We start from the raw sequence: 19,452 nt of genomic DNA on the forward strand, positions 1-19,452 counted from the left end.
CTTTTGTTCTATACTGAGAATCAGCCAGTGCTCCTTAGGGGATATACCTTGAAGAATATCAACTCATCTGTCTGAGATTCCTTTGACTTCAGGATCTTAACTCCCCAAATTTTTATTGCCTTTGCAGATCACCAATGACTTTAAGTTAAACAAAACTGTTTTCTATTTTATCTGGCCTTGCTAGTTCTTCTGAGCTGAAATGTCCAGAAGAACTAGCTGGGCTGCAACTATTTTACCATAACTGAAGGCCAAAATCATGCTTGAGACTCCTTGAAAATGTGTTTGAGTGTGTGTGTTTTTAAAAATTTGAAATATAGTATTTTTTCTTTCCTCTTCCTCCTCAAAACAAGTTTCTCTCATACATTAATTTGCACAACATGCAAACAGTAAGTTCAAAAGCTAGCAATTGTGTTCAAGTGGATGAAGGTCCAGCAAATATTTTATCTTTTCAGGGGGACCCCACATCCACACACCATGCTTCTGACAGTTAGTGAGTGCAGGCTATGGACATTGCACATTTATTTCTAACAATAACTTCTTACCTTCCCTGCTCTGTTCTCAGTCTTAAGCCTACTTCTCCTTTATTCCTTATCTCTATCCCATTGTCAGCCAAATTCTTGCTCTTTGGACTCTAGTTTACTTAATGCAGTTTAGTCCAAGGTTTTTGCAAATGGTATTGGATTAGAGTCCCCTTATGAAGTAGGCTTTTAAAATGTTAGTAAGCTTGTTACGAATGCAGGTTTCTAGGCTTTGGCCACAGATCCTGAGTCATAGTTGGTCTGAGATGAACCCTAACAATTTGTATTTTTAGTAAGCACCCTAGCACCCTTGAAACACTGAGGAGTATTCAGGATATCCTACGTTGGCTCCCACCCCAGGGCCTCACACTCTGGTACTGGCTGACTTCACCAGTTCTCAGGTCTGGTCTGCCCAGGGCCCCGAGAAGGGACATTACTCACTGTGAGTTTTACTAATGTGGTTTTGTGCTATTTGAAGTGATCCCTGCCCTCTGGGGAAAAATAATCAGAGGATTATATAGAATTATCTCCCCCAAAGGCTATGAGGACATAGTCCATTATCCACCTTAGGTGGCAATATGGTGGATTATGTGGCATTTCATCTTTGCTACTCTCTGACTCAGAATATTTAGAATGTAAAGTTAAACCCAGAAACACCTGCCATTGATTGTCTGAACTATTCTTGGGCAATCTGGAAAACCCTTTCTCATCTGATACACATAGTCTCCCCAACATTTTAAGCTATTATTTGGAACATTTCTATTCTTTGTTTTATACTTAAGACTGTGAGCCAAGCCAAGAAGACATTTTTGTATTCCCCTGTCTCCTCCCTACCAGTGTTGGAGGAACGTCAACATGAAAGAAGAAGGGATATTATTTAGGGTGGCCTAAGGGGTAATAAGTAGGATTAATGGGATGAAATTGAGCAAAGGAAAATTTAAAGTGAACATCAGGAACATTTTCCGAAGATTGAAATCAATGATCCTGTGGAATTAAGATCCCAGGGGAGGTTGTGGGAGCCCTATTACTTGAATCAGTTCGAACTAGACTGGGCTAAATATTTGAATATAATCCTACCTTGGCAGAGAGTAAACCTGCAATAGCTGGAAGATGGAAAAAATGACCTAATAGGTCTTTTCCATCCCTGACTTCTATGAGTCATCCAATGTATGCTGTTATGCGTCACACAGCCGGCCAGACCCAGGTCATTCACTATACATTTCAGCCACAAAATCCTCAGATTCTGACTGAGCCCCAACTAAACGGCTACCTCGGCAGAGACTGAGGGTCCCTTTGGGATTTCTGGTTAGTTTATAATCAATTAAATATCAGAAATGAATGCAGAAATAAGTCATAGAAGCAGAGGGTGGTGAATAATTGAGTTCTTGTCCCTACCCTCTGGGAGGGTCACCCTCAAGGCTTTGCAGACAGTCAGAAATCTTTCCACTGCAGTTGTTGTCTGTAACTCCGCCTCTCAGGCTTGGCTGGCCTCTGGATTGTGCTGGGGCAGCCACTGCCCTCTTAACTGCTGATGGCAGGCAGACCCACCTCCTGCTGTGGCTCGGGGCCTGCTGTGGCCTTTTCTGCAGACATCACTGCCCTGCAGCGGCAGCATTAGCGTAAGGTCATTTCCTCTCGTGCCCCTGCCAGAGGAATCAGCCCTCAGGAGCATTGCTTCAGGTCTGTCAGCCCACATGAGTCCCAGAGCATTTTCTTCAAACATTATTATTATTATTAGCTGCATCCTTTCTTCAAATACAACTTTAGGAGAATATCTAAAGCTGACAAAAGCAACATTCCTTTGGTTTAAACAGGGAAGGGGACGGAGGACTCCCAGGAACTTCCTTCCTGGCCACCGCCCTGCTTCATGCCTCTTCCCCTTCATTGAGGAACAGATAGAAGCCACCATGAGGCACAGATTGAAAACACTCCTCTAGGCCCTTGCATGTATTTTCTTGCCATTTTATGCTCAATAAAACCCACAAAGCCTGAATGAAACGATTGCTGCAGCTCTAGGCTTTACAGAGCCTCCTGACAAGGCATCTGTTGTAGACATTGGTTATATATTCTCTCTTTTCCCTCCTCTGTTTGCTTAAACGCCCATGTAGCTGGTGGCTGGGAAGTGATTAGAGAAGATTGTAGAAAAGGAGGATTGGCTACTGGTGCTAACAACTTGTGTTTCACGTTAATTACATTAGACCTTAACCATTGCTTTTCCTTCTTTTGCATTTTCTCCTCTCTCTGGTGTTGTTTTGTGTAACTTCAAGTTGGCCCTAAATATGCATTACCACCTGATATTCCTAGACAGGCATGGAAATATGGAGGCATGCATACTGAGCTTTAGCACTGTAGCTTTAGGAAGTGCAGGCAGCATCTATTGCTCCCCCTATGGCAGTGGTCCCCAGCGTTTTTGGCACCAGGGACCGGTTTCATGGAAGACAATTTTTTCATGGATGGGGTTGCTGGGTTGGAATGGTTTCAGATGAAATCGTTCCACCTCAGATCAATGGCATCAGTTAGATTCTCAAAACAATTGCTCAATCTAGATCCCTTACATGTGCTGCTCACAATAGGGTTTGCACTCCTATGAGAATTGAATGCCACTGCTGATATGACAGGAGGTAGAGCTCAGGCAATAATGCTCGCTTGTCTGCCACTCACCTTCTGCTGTGTGGCCCATTTCCTAACATAACACGGACTGGTACCAGTACGTGGCCAGGGTGTTGGGACCCCTGCCTTAGGGGATGTATTAGACTCATCTCCTACACCGAAAGTGGCCTCCATGTTTTAGTTTTCTAACTCATGATTTTCAAAGCATCCTTAGCTAAAATATGGAATTCTTCCAACTAATTGGGAGATAAATAAATGGATTTGAATTCAAGTCTACTTGATGTGAAACCTATTTGATATCAGACTCTTAACCCCTGCATTGTTCTTGCTCTCGCTTAACTACAAGACCTGCAAAACAGAGGGAATTTGAATTCTGTATTTCTGGCGTACACCTACTCTGTGTGGGGCTTCCTTGGTGCAGCCAGGTAAAGAACGTCACCGGATTCGTGTTTATGTCTTTCTTCCTCTGACACTCCTTCTTTGGTGCTTTAAATTTCAAACAATTCGAGATTCAGAGAGAGGACTTAGAGGGTCAAGTCATGTGTCCTTTCTGGATCCCTGGGTAACTCTTTTTCCTATTGTTTCTCTCAGTAACCAGACATAATCTCCCCCATTATCCGGAGATAAGTACTGCCCTTAACTAAAACCTAAGGCTGTTTACTTATTTTGTTCCTTTCATAATTTCCCACCTTCATGAAAAGGAAGCTTTGAGTTAGGAGCAAGTGATGGGGCACAGGCATCCTAGACCTAGAGCGAGAAGGGCCACCAATGAGCCTTTAGTTCCTTACTGCCTTTACTGAATGAGAAAAAAGAAACCTAAAGAGAGGTTATGTGGCTCACATCCTTAAATTAGAGAATTAGGAGTGAATTAAGGTTTGACGTCAAAGTCCACAATTTTTTTCTCCTTGTTACTCAGAGAAAGAGAGACATAGGGTTAGGGCCTGAGCTTGAGGAAAATGTGGCAACTTTTAGAGAAAAGGTTTGTGTAGAAACGTTCTCAGAGGGCAATCTTTTATGAGTCAGTCCTCAGAGGGCTTTCTGTGAACACATCAGAGACATATGGATTACAAACATTTAAGATCCATATGGGTTAGAGAACAGAGACAGGGGAAAAATTTTGGCAAACACATTTGCTTTTTTAATATATGTGTGTGCCTGTGCCTATATATGTATACATATATTATCAAATTTAAAACACTTGAAAAGCAATCCCAGGCGTTTCAGCCTAAACCACAGAGTGGCTCATCCATCCCCACTAATAAGTTCCAATCCTTCTGTTGTGTGGTCTTTCCATTCCATGGGTTAGGACCCTGTAAGTCTGTTATACTTCAACCTGAATCCTGCCTGTTTTATACATTTTTAAAGATAGGTATAAAGAGACCAAATCTCACACTCCCATACAGGAACCCAACTCCCAGGAGTCAGCATTTAGCAGAATAGCTTCTTTGTGTTTTAAAATGTTTTAAGTCCACTTATAAATAAATTGGGCTATACCAGTGCTTTTGTAACGCACATTGTGAAAAATGAACGGTCAGCTTAAAATAGATTTTATTTTACTGCCAAGTGCATTATGTAAAAAATGTACTCCATCTGGCAGGACAGACCGTGTGGTCGTGTGGATGGAGCTCAGATAAGGGAGCAGTCCTTTGTGTTAAGAGAATGCCGCTCGAGACCCTGATGTCTATCAGGACACAAGCCACGATCGATGGAGCAGTTCATGAACAAACAAGCCATCTCCTCTTCCTGAGGTACACAGGCAAACTTCCCTTCCTGTGAACAAAAGCAGCCAATGCTCACCAGCCTGGAATTAGCTACTCTTCCGCCTCACTTTCTCTATCACTTGTCAATGCACCAGCTCCCAGAACGGGAACCTAGTGTGGGTCAACGTAAACCTGCAGACCCGCCTTCATCATTTCACAATAGTGACATGACCTGGAGCTTTTGACTGATACTTCTTCATTTTGGCAAAGCTGAACTTACAACAAGCTCCTTGCAATTTTTAATTTTTGCTCTTGTAACTTTACTCATATGCTCTTCAACCTGACGTATCCTCCCACTCTTTTTCCACAAATTCATATCCATCACTTTCTTCAAGGTTCAAAACAATGTTCAGGTTCTTAAGGATTGCATCCTTAACCCGATTCAAATATAATAATCCTCTTCTTTGAATATAAGTACTCTCATTTTCTCAAGCTTTTCTCTCCTCTGGGGTTCCTCTTCCTTTTCTTCATGTTTAACAAGTATCTAATTAGGCCCGTAGGAGAAGCTGGCAAATTATACCAAATATAACATGGCTGCCAATCTGAGTTTTTCAGCCTAGCAACTGGACACTCCATGAAATATCCTAGTTTCTTTAATAGGAACACTTTCTAAGAATAGATAGGCATATATCTTGATTACTAATCTCACCAGAACTCTACTAATTAGCTGTCTCCTTCTTGCTAAACTGTTAACTGATAATTGATAATCCTCGGGGTATTTGTATGTTAGTAGAGAATTGTCAAGTAAGCCAGCATTACCTTAAGCCTTTAAATCGAAACTTGGCTTTTGACTTTTGACTTGAATCGAACTTTGACCTTTGACTCTAGGCTCTTATCTCTTTAAATTGAACCACCAGCACCCAGTTAGTCCCTATTTATGGTTGAAATTCCTGGAATGGGTTCTCCCATTCCTGCTCGATGCTGCCCACCCTGTTTTGTGCTTGTGCCCTCCCAGGAGGATGATATGGAGGTTACGAGCTCAGATGCAGGAGGCCGACAGAACTGACTTTGGCACCTACTAGCTCTGTGACTTAAATCTATCTAAGCTTCAGTTTTCTTACCTATAAAACAGGGATAATATTATCCCTCTGTATTATGTTCTTAAGGAAATTACTTGAAATAATGCATGTAAGATATTTAGCTGAGTACCTGATAAAGAAACCTTGAATTTTAGTTGTTATTATTGTTGTTGATCTGAATCCTATTTTCAGTCTTGATTTACCCACAAAATGTGAGAAATTGATAGATTTTCCTTTTGAACTTTGACTCTAGGCTCTTTTCCCTAGATTTTGACACTTTTTATATGTGATTTTACATCTTCCTCTGTCCTACTCTAGGTGACTTTCGTGTCTAGTTTGTCCTCAGCTTCTGGGCTCCCTCCTGTAATATTATTCTATGTCTACTCAGGAGAGGAACATTCCAGGAGTCAAGGAAGAATTTCTACAGTTGCATAGCAAGAATCCTCATATGTAATACCTATACTACCTAAAGAATCATCACTTGCACCACTCTACCACTTCTATACCTTCCATGGCAGGTGTGTTTGGAACAGTGCTACACATACAATAGTCAACAATAAAGGTTCATGGAGTGAGGGGAAGGTGTGCTAAACAAAAGCTAACAGGGATAAAAGCATTCCCATGGACTTTTTGGTCAAAATGATTACTTGGAGTTTGTCCTGTATCTGAAATTTTCTTGAACTGGCTACTGTCATAGCAGAGTGGAATTCAGTTTTCAACTAAAAGTCACAGACAGAACTGACAAGACTTTCTGACTGATGACTTCCCATAGATGCCAGGGTCAACCTGGAAGGAACGCTGGGCAGGTGGACAAACACCAGGTAATAGCTTCCGTAGCTCAATACCCAGAGTAGGTCAGAGGTTGATAAACTCCTGGTGCCCACAGGAAACTCATAACCAGGTAGGAAACTGAGGTGGAGAGACCATGTCAGACATCAGCACAAGTTCAAGATTGTAGACATTGGAGAGCAAGATGGTCAGCACCAAAGGTAAGTTGAGACGTGAAAGTGACCAGGGAATGGGCTATAAACAGATACATTGAAACCTTGTGCTTATTAGGGGCTGATCATGAGACAAGATTGGTCTGGCTGTTGGAAAGTTCAGAGCTGGTTACACCTTTGGATTCATAGTCTACTTAAAATCTTTATTCAGGGGTTTCAAACTCAATTTTGCTATAGAGGGCTCTGTCTGTTTTTGCTTCTTTCCATCTGAACATATTAGGTACATATGGATTAAAGAAAACCAGTTTGGCATTTAAATTATATATCAGGCTGGGTATGGTGGCTTATACCTTTAATCCCAGCATTTTGGGAGGCCAAGGAGGGCAGATTATGTGAAGCTAGGAGTTTGAGACTAGCTTGATCAACATGGTGAAACCCTGACTCTACTAAAAAATACAAAAATTAGCTGGGCGTGGTGGCACACTCTTGTAAATCCCAGCTACTTGGGAGGCTGAGGCACAAGAATTGCTTGAACCCAGAAGGCGGAGGTGCAGTGAGCCAAGATCGTGCCACTGCACTCTAGCCGGGGTGATAGAGCCAGACTCTGTCTCAAAAAAATACATTATATACATCAAGTATACAAATGTTTTTTGCTTTCTTGTTTGTTTTTAAATAGGAGAAGAAGGCCCTGCTTAGCTGTGTATTTTTATCACCAAATGAGGGGCTTCAACAAACCTTTTAGTTATGTTTGACACCACATAGGCTGCTGGGGTAGGAAGAATCACGGCCCCCCCAGTGATGTCCATGTTCTAATCCCTGGAATCTGTATGTTACTTGCATGGAAAAGGGACTTTGTAGATATGGTTAAGGTAAGGCTCCTGTGATGGAAAGACTAGACTGGATTATCCAGGGGAGCTCTGTGTAATTGTGAGGGTCCTCATAAATTAAAGGGGCAGTCAGGAGAGTGCATGAGGGAGAGCTCTGAAGATGCTACACTGCTGGCTTTGATGAGGGAAGGGGAACACAAGCCAAGGGGTTCAAGAGGCGACCAGGCACTGGAAAAGGCATGGATATGAGTTTTTCTATAGAGCCCCCAGAAAGGACATCACCTTGCCAACACTTTGATTTTAGCCTAGTGGGAAGCCATTTTGGACTTCTCACCTCCAGAACCCTAAGATAATGAATTTGTGTTGTTTAAAGCTGCTACATTTGTGGTAATTTGTTAAGCAGAATACAATTGTGCTGCCACTACTACCTTAAGGACTAATTTTGTTTCAGATCTGGTATTCAGGGTGAAATTTTTTTCTCTTAGTCATTTCTTAGGAAATGCTGTCACCTGTTGAATAATTGAAACTTTATACTTCATGATCCTAAACACTTTTTCTGTAGAGAATATTAATGAGATATCAGGCATGCCTTTTGTTTATACTCATTATTCTCTTTTAAAATAATAATTTTTTAAACTTTTTTTCCAAATCCCTGTTTAAATCAGTTTTGTCTTTTTTATGGTTATCTCCTTAGGCATATTTAGAATGCCTCTTTAAATTAATTTTGAATCTTTACCTCGGAGGCAAAAGCCTGTATGTTTCTGAAAAAGTTTACAAAAAACAAACTCCATGATTCCAAAGGAAAAGTGTTTCTTATACTACTCAAATATCAGGTATTGCTTTTTTTCATTTCTGAGGCCATTTTTTTTCTTTTTGTCCTGGTCTTAGCAAACAAAGAAAAATACTCTGCAGAAGAAAATGGTAATTTGTTTTCTTCATTTGTCTTCCCACAATCCCTACATATCTCTATCTTCAGGAACCCGTAACTCCTGAGAAAGAAACTCTCTCATCCTTTTTAAATCTATTTCTTTCTGCCTGTATTTTCAATCTCACATATGTCTCATTCTTCTGGAATCTTGTTCCCTCAGTTAATCCTTTTATCTACTTCCCACATCTGAAAATGCAAACTATCAAACACATAACACCAAGTTATTTCATTGGACCCTGTTTTTTCTCTCTGTTCTTCCTTTTATTTTCTCTCTTATGTGTTAATCTATTTACATTGCTATACAGAAATACCTGAGACTGAGTAATTTATACCGAAAAGAGGTTTATTTTGGCTTATGGTTCTGTAGGCTGCACAGGAAGCATGGTGATAACATCTGCTTCTGGTGAGGACCTTACAAAGCTTACAATCATGATGGACGGCAAAGGGGGAGCCAGCATATCACATGGTAAGAGGGAGCAAGAGAGAGAGGATGGGGCACCAGCTTCCTTTTAAACAATCAGCTTTCTCAGAAACTAATAGAGAGAGAACTCACTTATCACCAAGGGGATGAAGCTAAACCATTCATGAGGAATTTGCCCCCACAATCCAACATCTGTCTCCCACCAGGCTCCACCTTCAACACTGGGGATCACATTTAACATGAGATTTAGAGGGGACAAAACATCCAAACCATATGACTTTAATATTAAATTTGAAAAAATTCTTCACTTTTCATTCACATTTCAACTCTGGCAACCTGAATCTCATACAAACCTCTCCACTGAAGTTGTTTTTGTGAAAGTCACAGATGACCTGTTGATTGCTAACTCCCATGAATATCTTAAGGTTTAAATATTCCATGTCGGAACATATAATAAGCACTAAAAGGCACATGTCAAGGTATAAAAAATGTTGCAAAACATACTACAAGGAATTGACATATTTAATCTGTAAAAGCCCCTTACAGAAATACTATTAAAAGAGTAATTTATATAATATTATAATTTAAGAAAAAATTATAATTTGTTAATGTCAGACCTCTGAGCCCAAGCCAAGCCATCGCATCCCCTGTGACTTGCACGTATATGCCCAGATGGCCTGAAGTAACTGAAGAATCACAAAAGAAGTGAAAAGGCCCTGCCCTGCCTTAACTGATGACATTCCACCATTGTGATTTGTTCCTGCCCCACCTTAACTGAGTGATTAACACTGTGAATTTCCTTCTCCTGGCTCAGAAGCTCCCCCACTGAGCACCTTGTGACCCCTGCCCCTGCCCACCAGAGAACAAACCCCCTTTGACTGTAATTTTTCATTACCTTCCCAAATCCTATAAAACAGCCCCACCCTTATCTCCCTTCGCGGACTCTCTTTTCGGACTCAGCCCACCTGCACCCAGGTGAAATAAACAGCTTTATTGCTCACACAAAGCCTGTTTGGTGGTCTCTTCACACGGACGCGCATGAAATTTGGTGCCATGACTCGGATCGGGGGACCTCCCTTGGGAGATCAATCCCCCGTCCTCCTGCCCTTTGCTCCATGAGAAAGATCCACCTACGACCTCAGGTACTCAGACCGACCAGCCCAAGAAACATCTCACCAATTTCAAATCCAGTAAGCGGCCTCTTTTTACTCTCTTCTCCAACCTTCCTCACTATCCCTCAACCTCTTTCTCCTTTCAATCTTGGAGCCACACTTCAATCTCTCCCTTCTCTGGGGGTGGTATGGAGAGAGAATGGGTGATGGTTCTCAGGGCTGCTTCAAGCGGGATTAGGGGCGGCGTGGGAACGTAGAGTGGGAGAGATTAAGCTGAAGGAAGATCTTGTGGTAAGGGGTGATATTGTGGGGTTGCTAGAAGAAACATTTGTCGTATAGAATGATTGGTGATGGCCTGGATACGGTTTTGTATGAATTGAAAAACTAAATGGAATAAGAGAAGGAGAAAAACAGGTATAAAAGGTCTAAGAATTGGGAGGACCTAGGACATCTGATTAGAGAGTGCCTAAGGAGATTCAGCATAGTCCTGCCAGCAAAGATTATTTATTTACTTCAAGAGTTTAGAGTGGCAGTTTGGGGATAGCACCAGGAGATATCAGCTGTGATGGCTTGGAGAAACAGTATAAACCGGCAGTGTAAACAAGAGCAGGGCATGTATGAGTAGTTGAGAACGGTGAATAGGAGTATGACTAGACAAAAGATAGTAGGGATGACAAGTTTTTTTGGGGCACAGTCTAAGTTGGTCTGGTGTCGAATGAGACTGGGGCCTAATAAAAAGGAGCATCTATACAGGAGCTCAAATGGGCTGTACCTTGTAACATTCTGAGGACAGGCCTGAATTCTGAGAAGTGAAAGTGGTAAAAGTATTGTCCAGTCCTTTTTAAGTTGGTGGCTGAGCTTGGTGAGTTGTGTTTTTTAAAGACCTTTAGTCCGTTCTACTTTTCTTGAAGACGGAGGACCGTAAGGGATATAAAGGTTTCACTGAATACTAAGAGCCTGAAAAACTGCTTGGCTGATTTGACTAATAAAGGCTGGTCTGTTGTCAGACTGTATAGAGGTGGGAAGGCTAAACTGAGGAATTATGACTGACAGAAGGGAAGAAATGACTGCGGTGGCCTTCTCAGACCCTGTAGGAAAGGCCTTTACTTATTCACTGAAAGTGTCTATTTAGACTAAGAGGTATTTTACTTTCCTGACTCGGGCATGTTGAGTAAAGCTAATTTGCCAGTCCTGGGTGGGGGCAAATCCTCGAGCTTGATGAGTAGGGAAGGGAGGGGGCCTGAATAATCCCTGAGGAGTAGTAGAATAGCAGATGGAACACTGAGAAGTTATTTCCTTGAGGATAGATTTCCAGGATGGAAAGGAAATGAGAGGTTCTGAGAGGCAGGCTAGTGGCTTGTACTATAGCATAGCCTGTCTTTGCTGGTGTGTGGCGATTAGGCCTGGTGGAACTGCCATCAATAAATCAAGTGTGATCAGGGTGAGGAACAGGAAAGAAGGAAATATGGGGAAATGGGGTGAATATCAGGTGGATCAGAGAGATACAGTCATGGGGGTCAGGTGTGGTATCAGGAATAATGTGAGAGGCCGGATTGAAGTCTGGGCCAGGAACAATGGTAATTGTGGGACTTAAAGAGTGAGTACAGCTGAAGGAGCTGGGGAGCAGAAAGTATATGCATCAGGTATGAGGAAGAAAATAGATTTTGGAAGTTATGAGAAATGTAGAGAGTGATTTGAGCATAGTTTGTGATTTTTAGGGCCTCTAACAGTATTAAAGCAGCGGCAGCCGCTGCACGCAGACATGAGGGCTAGGCTAAAACAGTAAGGTCAAGTTGTTTGGACAGAAAGGCTACAGGGTGTGGTCCTGGCTCTTGTGTAAGAATTCTGACCGCACTAACCATGCCTAGGAAGGAAAGGAGTTGTTGTGTTGTAGAAGGTGCTGGGGTTTGAGAGATCAGTCGGACAAGATTGGCAGGGAGAGCACGTGTGTTTTTATGAGAATTATGCCGAGATAGGTAACAGATGAGGAAGAAATTTGGGCTTGATTGAAGTAATGGGGGCTGTCTGTGAAGCTTTGCGGCAGTACAGCCTAAGTAATTTGCTGAGCTTGATGGGTGTCAGGGTCAGTCCAAGTGAAAGCGAAGACAGGCTGGGATGAAGGGTGCAAAGGAATAGTAAAGAAAGCATGTTTGAGATCTAGAACACGATAATGGGTTGTAGAGGCAGGTATTGAGGATAGGAGAGTATATGGGTTTGGCACCACGGGGTGGATAGGCAAAACAATTTGGTTGATAAGGCGCAGATCCTGTAAGGCTTGTCTGGTTTTAGGACAGGTAAAATGGGGGAATTGTAAGGAGCGTTTATAGGCTTTAAAAGGCCATGCTGTAGCAGGCGAGTGATAACAGGCTTTAATCTTTTTAAAGAGTGCTGCGGGATGGGATATTGGCGTTGAGTGGGGTAAGGGTGATTAGGTTTTAATGAGATGGTAAGGGGTGCATGATCGGTCACCAAGGAGGGAGTAGAGGTATCTTATACTTGTGGGTTAAGGTGAGGGGATACAAGAGGAGGACGCAAAGGAGGCTTTGGATTGGGAAGAAGGGCGGCAATGAGATATAGCTGTAGTCCAGGAATAGTCAGGGAAGCAGATAATTTAGTTAAAGTGTCTCAGCCTAATAACGGAACTGGGCAGGTGGGGATAACTAAAAAGGAGTGCTTAAAAGAGTATTGTCTAAGTTGGCACCAGAGTTGGGGAGTTTTAAGAGGTTTAGAAGCCTGGCCGTCAATACCCACAACAGTTATGGAGGCAAGGGAAACAGGCCCTTGAAAAGAAGGTAATGTGGAGTGGGTAGCCTCCATATTGATTAAGAAGGGGACGGGCTTACCTTCCACTGTGAGAGTTACCTGAAGCTTGGTGTCCATGATGGTCTAGGGGGCTTCTGAGGCAATTGGGCAGTATCAGTCTTCAGCTGCTAAGCTGAGAAGATCTGGGAAGGAGTCAGTCAGAGAGCCTTGGGCCAGAGTTCCAAGGGCTCTGGGAGTGGCTGCCAGGTGAGTTGAACAGTCCAATTTTCAGTGGGGTCCCACACAGATGGGATGCGGCTTAGGAGGAATCCCGGGCTGCAGGCATTCCTTGGCCCAGTGGCCAGATTTCCGGCACGTGTAGCAAGCTCCTGGGGGAGGAGGTTCTGGAGGAAGGCCTGGCTGCTGGGGTTCAGGCATTTGGAAGTTCTTGTGTGCTGGAGATGTGGCTGGTGTTTGTCTCACAGTGGAGGCAAGGAATTGCAACTTTTTTCTGTTATTGTACACCTTGAAGGTGAGGTTAATTAAGTCCTGTTGTGGGGTTTGAGGGCCAGATTCCAATTTTTGGAGTTTTATTTAATGTCGGGAGCAGATTGGGTAATAAAATGTATATTGAGAATAAGACGGCCTTTTGACTTTTTAGGGTCTAGGGCTGTAAAGCATCTCAGGGTTGCTGCCAAACGAGCCATGAACTGGGCTGGATTTTTATATTTGATGAAAAAGAGCCTAAACGCTTCTGATTTGGGATAAAGAAAAAGGAGCATTAACCTTGACTATGCCTTTGGCTCCAGCCACCTTTTTAAGAGTAAATTGCTGGGCAGGTGGGGGAAGGCTAGTCATGGAACGAAACTGTAAGCTGGACCAGGTGTGATGAGGGGAGGTGATAAAAAGATTGTAGGGTGGAGGAGCAGAGGCTGAGGAAGAATTGGGACCTAGCTTGGTCTGGAGAGGAGCAGCCTGGGGAGGAAGGGAGAGGTCAGATGGGTCTGTAGAAAAGGAAGATTAGAAAGACTCAGCGAAGCTTGGGGTTGGCACTGAGGGGACAGGCAGGAGGGAAAGAAGGAAGATTTGGGATGAGTTGCACTGGGCACAGAGACTAGGAAGGGACTGATGTGTAAAAGAATGCCTGGACGTCAGGCACCTCAGACCATTTGCCTATTTCACAACAAGAATTATTTAGATCTTGCAGGATGGAAAAATTCAAAGTGCCATTTTCTGGCTATTTGGAACTACTGTCAAGTTTGTATTGGGGTCAAGTGGCATTGCAGAAGAAAAGGAATTTAGGTTTTAGGTCAGGTGTGAGTTGAAGAGGTTTTAAGTTTTTGAGAACAAAGGCTAAGGGAGAAGAAGGAGGAATGGAGGGTGGAAGGTTGCCCATAGTGAAGGAGGCAAACCCAGAGAAAAGAGAGCATAGAGACATAGAGGGAAGGGGTTCGGGGGTTCTTACCCTCCTGAAAAGTGGGAAGGGGGGTTGGGGCACGGAAATAAGGGATTGGGGCACAGAGATAAGAGGTTGGGGTATGGAAATAAGGGATTGGGGCACAGATAAGAGGTTAGGGTGTGGAAATAAGGGATTGGGGGTTCTTGCCCCCTAGAAAAGCAGGACTTGTCGCTAAGGGTGAAGGAGAAGGGGTTGAGAGGTACTTGCCCCTCCCCCAGAAAAGCGGGACTTGGCGCTAAGGGTGAAGGAGAAGGGGTTGAGGGGTACTTCCCCCTGCCCCAGGAAAGCTGGACTTGCCACTAAGGGTGAAGGAGAAGGGGTTGAGGGGTACTTGCCCCTCTCCTAGAAAAGCAGAGAAGGGGTAGAGACAAGGAGAGAAGGGGTTGGGGTACTTGCCCCTTCCCCAGAAAAGCAGAGAAGGGGTAGAGACCAGGAGAGAAGGGGTTGGGGTACTTGCCCCTTCCCCAGAAAAGCAGAGAAGGGGTAGAGACAAGGAGAGAAGGGGTTGGGGTACTTGCCCCTTCCCCAGAAAAGCAGAGAAGGGGTAGAGACCAGGAGAGAAGGGGTTGGGGTACTTGCTCCTTCCCCAGAAAAGCAGAGAAGGGGTAGAGACAAGGAGAGAAGGGGTTGGGGTACTTGCCTCTTCCCCAGAAAAGCAGAGAAGGGGTAGAGACAAGGAGAGAAGGGGTTGAGGTACTTGCCATTTCCCCAGAAAAGCAGAGAAGGGGTAGAGACAAGGAGAGAAGGGGTTGGGGTACTTGCCTCTTCCCCAGAAAAGCAGAGAAGGGGTAGAGACAAGGAGAGAAGGGGTTGAGGTACTTGCCCCTTCCCCAGAAAAGTGGGACTTGCTGCTAAGGGTGAAGGACCAAGGCAGGCGTCCCTGCATGGTCTGACACCTTTGAAACGTGGGTGAATAATCAGAAAAGCGTCCCTGCAATGATTAAACACTAAGGGAAGGTTGCCTTCCCAGTCCGTGACCGGCGCCGGAGTTTTGGGTCCACAGATAAAACGTGTCTCCTTTGTCTCTATGGGAAAATGAAAGGAATTGAAATTAAGAGAAGGGAGAGATTGAAGTGTGGCGCCAAGATTGAAAGGAGAAAGAGGTTGAGGGATAGTGAGGAAGGTTGGAGAAGAGAGTAAAAAGAGGCCGCTTACTGGATTTGAAATTGGTGAGATGTTTCTTGGGCTGGTCGGTCTGAGGACCTGAGGTCGTAGGTGGATCTTTCTCATGGAGCAAAGAGCAGGAGGACGGAGGATTGATCTCCCAAGGGAGGTCCCCCGATCCGAGTCATGGCACCAAATTTCATGCGTGTCCGTGTGAAGAGACCACCAAACAGGCTTTGTGTGAGCAATAAAGCTGTTTATTTCACCTGGGTGCAGGTGGGCTGAGTCCGAAAAGAGAGTCCGCGAAGGGAGATAAGGGTGGGGCCGTTTTATAGGATTTGGGAAGGTAATGGAAAATTACAGTCAAAGGGGGTTGTTCTCTGGTGGGCAGGGGCAGGGGTCACAAGGTGCTCAGTAGGGGAGCTTCTGAGCCAGGAGTAGGAAATTCACAGTGTTAATCACTCAGTTAAGGTGGGGCAGGAACAAATCACAATGGTGGAATGTCATCAGTTAAGGCAGGGCAGGGCCTTTTCACTTCTTTTGTGATTCTTCAGTTACTTCAGGCCATTGGGCGTATATGTGCAAGTCACAGGGGATGCGATGGCTTGGCTTGGGCTCAGAGGCCTGACAGTAAATATGAGGCTGGGTGTGGTGGCTCACACCTGTAATCCCAGCACCTTGGGAGGCTGAGGTAGGCGGATCACTTGGGGTCAGGAGTTTGAAACCAGCCAGCCTAGCCAACATGCTGAAACCCCATCTCTACTAAAAATACAAAAAAATTAGCTGGGTGTGGAGGTGGGTGCCTGTAATACCAGCTACTTGGGAGGCTGAGGCAGGGAGAATCACTTGAATCCAGGAGGCAGAGGTTGCAGTGAGCTGAGATCATGCCACTGCACTCTAGCCTGAGTGACAGAGCAAGACTCTGCCTCAAAATAAATAAATAATTAAGAAAGCATTCACTTTGTTTGTTAGCCAAATACCTGTTAAGATATTTGTAAAGCAGACATGACTTCCAGTGCTAGTACAACTGTGGTAAAATAGGTACTCTTAGAATTATGTGTCAACTTTGTTTTTGAGGATATTCATCATGGGCTTATTACTAAGGGCAAAATTGTAGAAACAAATAAAATTTCCAAAAACAGGCAATTGGTTAAATTACAATATATTTTAAATATCAGAAGATGATATAGGTAGTTTATTAACATTGGAAAATAGTTAAGATACAGGAAGGGATGTAAAGATGTGGTGGGAGAGAAGAAAAAAATGCAAAATGTTTGAAATGTTTTTTTCTTTGCCTTTCTGTATTTTCTGAGTTTTTGCAACAGGCATTGATTTCATAACTAGAAATTAAACACATTACATTACAGATGAATATTTTGTTATAATTAATAATAAGCTCTAATAACAAAGGCGACATCAATATATCATACCTAGGGGTTGAGATTTTGCTAGGTCTATGGAAAAGCCGTGAGTTGGAGGTGGTGTTGCTGGAAAACTGCTAGTGGGCAGTTATTCTGTAAGGTTAAATAAGATGGACTCTTGCATTATAGCCATCTGAGAAGCCCATGGTTAGAGTGGTCACCTCTTACGGAACCTGAGGAGGCTGACAAAACATGTGCCCGACTAAAACACTTCATCAGATCATGGAAAAGAAAGCAGATTTTGGGTTAAATGAGTAATGGAGAACTGAATACGCCCTATCCTCCAGGGAGAAGAGTTGGGAGAGGTTGGAGGAGGTGTGATTTTAAGTAAGTCTTGGACAAGTCTGAACTTGCCCAGCCCACAGGCAAGCAGGTAGGAGGTTGTTATGCTCCTTCAGGAATCAGGCCTGACTGAGGCCCTGTCCAGGATGGTGGAAAGGAAGGGCCACCACTAAGAAAGAATTGCCAGTACTTGGGGACTGTTAGAAGGCAGAGGTCAATAAAGAAGTTAAAGTAAAAAATGATTACAATTTTTGAGTCAGGAGGGGCCAAGAAAATTGTGGAGGCTCTGTCAGAAATGCAGTTAGGAGTGGAAGTAGGTTTTAGGTAGAAGATGGAAGATAGTGTGTTTGGTTTTTAATGTAACATTTGAAAAAATGGTAGATAGTTTAATGTTCAGCAGACAAGTGAAAAAATGGGAGAGAGGTTAGGGTTGGGCACAGAATATGTAATTTTAAACTTTGTGGAGAACTCTCAATGCAAATTGAAACTAATTGTCTGTGAACAAAATTACCTCCTGTCACTAATGGCTGATAAAGGGATAGATCCCTTATTGTACATAAATTCCATTTTACAAGTGCCATCAGATTTCTAGGCAGCCCAACTCAGAGTTTCTTCTTCTTGGGTGGTGAAAAGCACTGACTTTGGATTCAGATATTTATAACCTGACCTATGATGGGTTATCATATCCTGGAGATTAGCTTCATATAGGGAAGGCTTTTTACTGCATAAGAAAGCAAAATCCACTAAATCTCATTACTGAGCTGTATTGTTATTATGAAACTAATTCATTCTGGTGTAGGAGAAATTCCTGTCATCAAAATCTTCAACAAGACATCTGTTTCGTTTGCTCCTAACTCCTAATTCCCCAGATCAGAGTAAGGAAGAAGTAAAGGTGAAATCAAATGGATAATCCAAAAATTGCAGTGTTAGAAAGAATTGTGTAATTTAACAAAGTGACAGACCATTTGTGTTTGTGTACAGCTGCACCTCAAAGAAAGCTTCCTGCTATATTCTCTTTGTTTTAAGTGTCAAGAGATTTGGCTTCTAGTCTTGGCATCTCCCCCAACAAATTCTGTGATGTTAGATATGTTATTTACTTTCCTCGGAGCTTCTTCACCATTTAGATAAAGACTAAAATATCCTATGATCCTAGCTCACAGGAGCAGTATAAAATAAAAGATGTGAAAATACAATGGAACCCATCCTAAGTTTACCCAAATCTAATTCTGGGTGCAGATTATATTTGCAAAAAAGCATTCTTAAGAACATGCAAAAAAAAAAAAAAAAAAAAGTGAAAAGATGTCAGTGAAAAAAATAAATACTTGGTGACCCATTTGGAAAGGTGATAGTCCAAAGTAATAATTTTCTTATGAAAGTTAACAATTATTTTTAAACAAGGTTTAAGCCTTGTTTAAAAATAATTGTTAACCTCAAATTTATGTCTTCACAGATGTGATGACTTCCCTATTCGGATGCCTGCGAGCTTGCACACTCGTGTACGGGCACACACATACATACAGTAAGTAACTATGCAGATGGTGTTTCCTGGTATTGACTGCCACTTGCTGTCACTAATTAGTTATGAAATGTGAAGGTAATTCAATTATTATAGCTAATATTACATAAGTCAGTAAACTGAAGCTAAAGAAGCAATTAGCAATGGTTGACATTTTCTTCAGGAAGTTTGCAATTCAGCTAGTTATATCAGAGCTTTCTAAGAAGCACCTTCTAACTCTTTATTTTACCTCTATTTTGAACTTCCTAGAGCCCTTCAATTTTATAATATTCCAGAATCAATATGTAGAAAGCATCATCTTTACCACCTCCCACGAGTTGAACTGTGTCCCCTGCAAATTCATTTGTTGAAGTCATAATCCCCAGTACTTCGGAATGTGACTGTGTTAGGAGATAGTATCTTTACAGAGGTAATCAAGCTAAAATGAGGTCATTAGTGCAGGCCCTAATACAATAGAATTAATTTATAATTTCCCTTATAAAATAAGGAAATTTGGACATACACATGTGTGTGTGCATGCACATAGAGAATGCCATGTGAAGATAAAGGCAGAGACCAGGGTGATGCATCTATAAGCTAAGGGGTGTCAAAGGTTGACAGCAACCCATCAGAACTTGGAAAGAGACATGAAACAGATTCTTCCTCACAGCCCTCGGAGAGAACCAACCCTGATGAGTCCTAGATTTCAGAAATCTAGTCTTCAGAACTGTAAACCAATACATTTCTATTATTTAAGTCACATGGTTTGTGGTAGTTTGTTATGGAATCCCTAGAAAACTAAACCAGCAACAA

The 19,452-nt window shown here is 42.7% G+C and overlaps 3 annotated features.

Moving 5' to 3' along the window:
• Positions 1,504-2,004: an enhancer, noted in NCBI's record as "NANOG-H3K27ac hESC enhancer chr1:218758840-218759340 (GRCh37/hg19 assembly coordinates)". NCBI's record gives its function as "activates a minimal SCP1, AML or CMV promoter by ChIP-STARR-seq in primed H9 embryonic stem cells {active_cell/tissue: H9 hESC(primed)}" and the evidence as "EXISTENCE:reporter gene assay evidence [ECO:0000049][PMID:30033119]".
• Positions 2,005-2,505: an enhancer, noted in NCBI's record as "NANOG-H3K27ac hESC enhancer chr1:218759341-218759841 (GRCh37/hg19 assembly coordinates)". NCBI's record gives its function as "activates a minimal SCP1, AML or CMV promoter by ChIP-STARR-seq in primed H9 embryonic stem cells {active_cell/tissue: H9 hESC(primed)}" and the evidence as "EXISTENCE:reporter gene assay evidence [ECO:0000049][PMID:30033119]".
• Positions 16,699-17,898: an enhancer, noted in NCBI's record as "MED14-independent group 3 enhancer chr1:218774035-218775234 (GRCh37/hg19 assembly coordinates)". NCBI's record gives its function as "activates an origin of replication core promoter dependent on BRD2, BRD4, P300/CBP and CDK7 cofactors, and independent of MED14, by STARR-seq in HCT116 cells {active_cell/tissue: HCT116}" and the evidence as "EXISTENCE:reporter gene assay evidence [ECO:0000049][PMID:35650434]".

This window comes from Homo sapiens, chromosome 1 (genome assembly GCF_000001405.40).
Source record: "Homo sapiens chromosome 1, GRCh38.p14 Primary Assembly".
In the NCBI taxonomy this organism is placed as follows: Eukaryota; Metazoa; Chordata; class Mammalia; order Primates; family Hominidae; genus Homo; species Homo sapiens.